General features: G+C 48.9%; 1 annotated feature.

Moving 5' to 3' along the window:
- Positions 5673-6172: an enhancer, noted in NCBI's record as "H3K4me1 hESC enhancer chr15:70235717-70236216 (GRCh37/hg19 assembly coordinates)". NCBI's record gives its function as "activates a minimal SCP1, AML or CMV promoter by ChIP-STARR-seq in primed H9 embryonic stem cells {active_cell/tissue: H9 hESC(primed)}" and the evidence as "EXISTENCE:reporter gene assay evidence [ECO:0000049][PMID:30033119]".

The following is a 6645-nucleotide window of genomic DNA, read 5'->3' on the forward strand; positions in this document are numbered from 1 at the left end:
AAATAATAAAGGTTAGAGCAGAAATGAAATAGAGATTAGCAAAACAATAGAAAAGATCAACAAAATTAAGAGTTTGTTTTTTGAAAAGATAAACAAAAATCAATAAACTAGGCTAAGAAAAAAAGGAAAAAATTCAAATAAATAAAATTATAAATGAAAGAGAAAATATTACAACTGATACCACAGAAATACAAAAGACCATTAAGAGATTACTATTAACAATTATGCACCAACAAATTGGTTATCCTAGAAGTAATGGATGCATTCCTAGAAACACACAACCTGCCAAGACTGAACCATGAAGAAACAGAAGATCTGAACAAAACAGTAATGATTAGGGGATTTAAATCAGTAATCAAAAATCTCCCAACAAAGAACAGCCCAGGACCAGGTGGCGTCACTGGTGAATTCTATTGAACATGTAAAAAAGAATTACCACCAATTTTTCTCAAACTCTTCCAAAAAAATTGAAGGGGAGAAAGCACTTCTAAACTCATCTCATAAAGCCAGCATTACCCTGATGCCAAAGCCAGGCAAAAATACTACAAGAAATGAAAATTATAGGCCAATATTTCTGATGAACATGTATGCAAAAATCCTCAACAAAATACTAGCAAACTGAATTCAACAGCATATTAAAAGGATCATACACCATGATCAAACAGGATTCATCTCTGGGATGCGAGAATGTTTCAACATATGCAAATCAACAAATGTGATACATCATATTAACAGAGTTAAGGATAAAAACCATATGATCATCTCAACAGAATCTCATAGGCTGTCCTCCCTGAAAAGTTCTCCCTTTTCTCTATTGTCTCTAGCCTTGGGCACGTTACCAAAGTTTCTACCTTCCAGCCCTACCATGATCCAGCCTAGTCAGCCCCAAAATAATTGTTTCTCAAAGAGAAGTACAGTATATCCTGGGGTGTGTGCCATTGTTTCAGGGGGAAACAAAACCACAGGATACATATGGGGCATTATCTTGGGTGTCAAGGCCCGCCCCATTGGAATAAATAGAATTTTGTATATATTTTCCACCCAACAAATATATATTGCATCCTAGAGCTGCAGCAGTGGGACATAGATTCTCATATTCAAAGATGGAACTTTGGGCTGGGCGCGGTAGCTCATACCTGTAATCCCAGCACTTTGGGAGGCCGAGGTGGGTGGATCACCTGAGGTCAGTAATTCGAGACCAGCCTGGCCAACATGGTGAAACCCCCATCTCTACTAAAAATACAAAAATTAGCCGGGTGTGATGGTGGGCACCTGTAATCCCAGCTACTAGGGAGGCTGAAGCAGGAGAATTGCTTCAACCCAGGAGGCGGAGGTTACAGTGAGCCGAGGTCCTGCCACTGCACTCCAGCCTGGACAACAAAAGCAAAACTCTGTCTCAAAAAAAAGAAAAAAACAGAGATGGAACTTTGAATACCTTTTCCCATGGCGAAGCAATTACACATGGTAGGCAGGATCTAATCATTCATTGATTCAACAAGGATTCATTGCATGCCCTGTGTATGCCAAGCACTATGATAGACTAGAGCTAAATAGGAAACAAAACTGTTGGGGCCCCTGCCCTCATGGCACTTCCATTCTAGTGGATATAAGTAGTGACTACTTTAGAAAGAGAATTACCCACTTGGCTGCATAAATGCTCCTTTGAATGAGTAAAATAAAATAAAAACTAATTTTACAAAAAAGAGTCTCATTAGTAGTCACATCATCTCTTGTAAAAGAAAAGAAAAGCTGAGAAATTCTAAAAGGCCATTAAGAGGCCAAAACCAAGAAACATAACCCTGTAGACTAGAGATTCCTAATGAGTTTAAAAAACATAACATTGGAACTCTTCAGGGAAATGGTTAAGTCAGAGCCAAAGGCATTGACACTGAATGAAGAGGAGCCTTAGCTAATGAAAAGGGAGCAGAGAGTGGAAGAAGCCAGGGAAGGAAGGTGACTAGAAATCCAGTGCTGGACTCAGAGAAGGGAGGCGGAGGCGAGAGCTCACCGACAGCATTGTTGGTATGCAAAGCACGGCAGCCTCCTCCCAGGAGTTGGGGCAGCAGCAGCAGAGAGGGAGCCAGGAATTCAGAGGGAAAGCAGGACCTGCAGGATGGCCCCTGGGATCACATTCGGGACTTCTGACTTCTGGAGAAGACTGCACCCCAGGTGGCCAGGGACAAGGCCAGCCTGATATTAGGGTGTCACCAGGTTCTGAGGCAAAGTTGGTAGAGTTTCTTTCACTTTCTCCCTCCATGCCTTTGCTCCCTCCTCTCTGTCCACCTGGCTCTCCCTGACACTGCTATCTTGGTCCAGGTGCAAATTGTTGGGTTTCCTCTTTGCGGAGTGAGGGGCAGCTGAAGCTAATTGCTGAGAGTAGGGAGCAAGGATTTGTTTTTAATGCCAGGTAGAGAGAAGCAGAGAAGACACTGGGCCATGGGACAGGAACAAGACTGGGTGTACATCTTGCAGCATCTCCAGACTCACTCAGAACAAACAGCTGCTGCTCATAGTAAGACAGGCCCAAGACTTTGCCTCTTTGGGGTTCAGAAGTAGTTATTAATAGTTCTAGGCTGGGCCACAGGATGGCTCAGCAAGACCCAGGACAACTTCCAATGATTCCAGCCATTGCCTAGTGCATGCCTGCTCTGTGCCCAGCCCAGTCCAGGCATGGAGGAATACCAAGTGCTCACAAACTAGCCAGGGCCACAGCCAGACAATCGCCCTCCTGGGTGACAGTGGACCCCCTCTCCCGGCTGCTTTCGATGCACCACAGATGAAGCCCCTCTGGGGGCCCCTTGGAGCCCCTCCAACCACCTCACACACAGAGGGCCTCAGGGCTCTGAGCCAGGACCCCAAAACCCTCATGCCCCCACCACCACAGCCCTCCCCCAAAGCAGGTGCTCCCCGTGGCGACAAGGACGGCGATGATTCGGGTGGGAACACATGAGTTATGGTGTGCCAGTGCCTCACAAACAAGTTTGGTGCCCGCCTGTCTTCATGAATCACGGAGGAGCCTAATCCTTCATTAGAACATTCAGCAGTAATTGCTGGCGAAATGCCACTTGCCTTTTTCTCATTTTAACAAAACATTTATGCATGAAAGATTTAATGCCAGGTATCAAGCATATCATTGTAAATTTACCACTAATTAAGCCTAATTAAAATAATTAAATGGCTGTGGAGTCACCATGTGAATTAAAATCACTTCTCCTCTGTACTAAGCTGTTTCTCACTAGCCAGGCCCCGGTTTGGAAGACAAATACATATCTCTCTGTCGATTTTTCCCGTCGCCCTGCTCAGCTTCATGCGGGGTATTTGCATGGCCAAGGATATTTGATAATTAAGATAATGCTGTGATTTGACGGTGCGGTTTTTCAATTTCAGGACCCCAGGAGATTTTCCTTTATCTCGGTGAAGTATAGACAATTTGACAAATCTGTTGCTTGGAGCAGTCGCTAGCGTTTGCATATTCATTACTCATTGGATTTTTAATCAAAGTAGCTGATGGACCCCTTGCACCACAAATAACTTGGTCATGAATAATTTATCCGTGCTTACTGGCTGGGCCATGCAGCCTCCCGGCGCCCCGGGGCCCCTGATTGGCTCGCCAGGGCTGGCCTGCCCTGCGCAGCACATGGCCACTCCAGATGTTTGGGTATCCATATGTGCACAGCTCATCAAAAACGGCAACGGCCCGCACCCGAGGGCCTCGGCGGTCCCCAGATAGGCCATCTGGAGTTGGAGGGAAAACAAACCTCGGCGAATTGTGGGATGCGTAGTTATCTTCAGTGGCGCCCGGAGGTGGCCACGGAGGGGTGCGCAGGGGGCGCGGGAATGCGACGGAAACCCAGAGTCAAGGCCCGCATCTGGGGCTTCAGGAAAGCTTGCTGTGTCCAAAGCTACAGGCAGGGCCGTCATGGGGACATTGTCTGGCCCTTTTCAGATCATGTGGGTGGTCAGCAGCTGCCTCTCCTGCTTCTACGGCCCCTGTGGGTACAACCCCCGACTCCCAGCCCCCACCCACCATATACACACATCTTCCCGCTGGGCCCTCTCCTGCCTAGGAACCCAGCCTGATGTGCTGCTCCCCAGCTCTCTGACTTTGCACATGCTGCCCCTTTACGTGCCATGTCCCTCCTCCTCTGTGCTACCCCAGCAGGGCTGGTTTAGAATTTTCCTGGGGAGGCCTGGCCCCTAATCATGTCAAACCCATTCAATTTACCCACATGCCACATTAAATATATTTTATATATAAGTGTGGAGGAGTTGAGTGGAGATGCAGTTGACTAGTTGACATAATAGCACGTTTTGTAGGCATTTAATGGACCATTTACTCATTTTGATTTTGCAGTTGTCTTTTCCTATGGAGCCCGTGGCGCTGGGCTCCCCAGGCCTCAGGCGTTTCTGCAGTCTCCTGACAAGGCTGTCTGCCTGGCATTGGCCTCCATGCCATGTGGTCTCAAGGCCGTGGTCTGCACGTTAGCCTTTGCCAGTTCTGTAAGGCCCAGCCTGTAGTACCTCAGCCAGCGAGCCTTCCTCTGTGACCCCCATGGCTTAAAGCTGAGGGTTGCCCCTCCCTGGTGCTTCTGGAACACCCCTATCTCCATTCCAGCCCATCACCCATATGGTGGTTGCTAGTTGGCATGATTTCCTCTCCACTAGACAGTGAGCTTGGGAAGGCAGGACGGTGATGTGCTCATCTCTGTCCCTCCCACCTCTCTCAGTGCCTGGCCCATACCATGTGCACAATAAATGTTTGATGAATAAATGAACTTTGGGCTTCATGTTTCAAAGAACAGGAACAATGACCCTGAAAAGAAAATTAAGGCAGAGCAGCAATCTGAAGGGGTGTGCAGGAGGCAGCTGGGGACAATCCTTCTGGCCTGGCACCAGAGCTTTTGTGCAAGGTGAGGAGGAGAGCACTTCTTCTGCCCCTCCTGCTGTTCCCCTCGCTCACTTCTCAGCTGACAGCCTCTTGGGTGTTGATGCAGGGAGGGTCCCGTGGACCCCAGATCTGCTGCATCACACAGGGTGTTCTCCCCCACCATGAGGACTCTGAGATCAAAGGAACAGACCCTCTGCAGGAGACTGATCTGACAAAGGTGGACCTCAGTCACACACACCCCTCTTTAAGTCTGGGTGTTGGTAATCACACACCTCTTGTATTGCAGTAGGTGAGATGTCCTCGCTGTAATTACTTCCCCCACAATCTAGCTCCGCACCCTCCAGCGTGCTGGTGAGGAGCTGGGAGAAGACTGCAGACTAATTATCAGGCAGGCAGGAAAACCAGCAGGCTGTGCTCTCCCTGTGACAATTAAAGTGAAAATATTTCATGATATTTTTAATATTTTTTTAAGGTTGGAGGAAAGGTGTGATTGTACTCTGTGTGTGTGTGTGTGTGTGTGTGTGTGTGTGTGTGTGTGTTGTGAGAAAGAAGGGAGGGAAGAAACAGAAACAGCCTGAGTCATAAGCAGATGCTTCCTGGAGCCTGTCAAGGATGGTAATGACCCCCTCCCGCCCCGACTGGCTGCTGTCTGGGCCCACCTGAGAGGAGGCTGCTGACAGCACACACATGCCCGCCTCATTTGCAGGCTGGAATTCCGCACTGAAGCCCACTCAAGTTTCATGTCATTGGAGAGACCTAAGGTGGTACAAGTCCTGGGGTGGGTGGGCCCACTGCAGACAGGGCGGGCCACCCTTGGGCAGGCCACCCTTGGGCAGGCCTGGGATACTGGAGACCTCAAAGCCCCTCAGCTAGAGACTCTAGCCAGAGTTTCGGAGGGACACAGACAGGAGCAGCCAGAAACAGAGGCACAGCAGAGGCGGGGGGGCAAGGGAAGAGAATGACATTTAGAACAGCAAAGTGTTTTCCCTTGGAGGGCCAGGAGACACCAGGGGGCTTAAAGGGAGCACATGCTCACTCCTGAACCTTTCTCATGCCACCCTTGCCTTCCTCAAGGAGCCCACACACCAAACAATGCATATTAGACCAGACATGTCAATCCCCTTCAGGGACTGTGGCTTGACCAAGGGCCTTTCCTGATCAAATGCTAAGAGGGCCAGGGGAAGGAGGCTGGAGAACTCCTGCCCCAGATGCCACTAGTGTCCAGACTGGGGTGAAATCAGGATGTTTGGGGCCGGCAGTCAGATACCCTCTCTGGAATTTGCATGAAGGCACATTGGAGACTCTGCCAGGTGAGGCCAAAAGAAAGACATGAAGACCCAGAGAAAGGAGCAGTCACATTATTGGTGGAGCTTGGAGCAAAAATGTGCCAATTCTGTGAGCACAGAGACAAAATTAGCTAGTCCCTGGAGACAGCTGGGCTGCAGGAGATGGTTATTCCTGGGAGCTATAAGATCGCCATTTCTCTCACCACTGTGGTACACACGGGCATCCTTAATGGCAACTCTGTTCCTCGCCCTCTAAAGCGTGAAGCCCTCACTGCTTAATGCCACCTCTCTAGGGGTCCTCCCACACCACGGGCTCTAGTCCTAGAAGATCTCCTTCCCCACGGACTGCCAGGATCACACACTGGTGCACCAGGGCACAACAGCAGTCCAAGTGCACACAACCACAGTGCAATTACGCACCTTGCTCAGAATTCCCCAGCCAGCCATCTGCAGCCATAACCATTCTTGGGA

Source organism: Homo sapiens, chromosome 15, assembly GCF_000001405.40.
Source record: "Homo sapiens chromosome 15, GRCh38.p14 Primary Assembly".
Taxonomy (NCBI): Eukaryota; Metazoa; Chordata; class Mammalia; order Primates; family Hominidae; genus Homo; species Homo sapiens.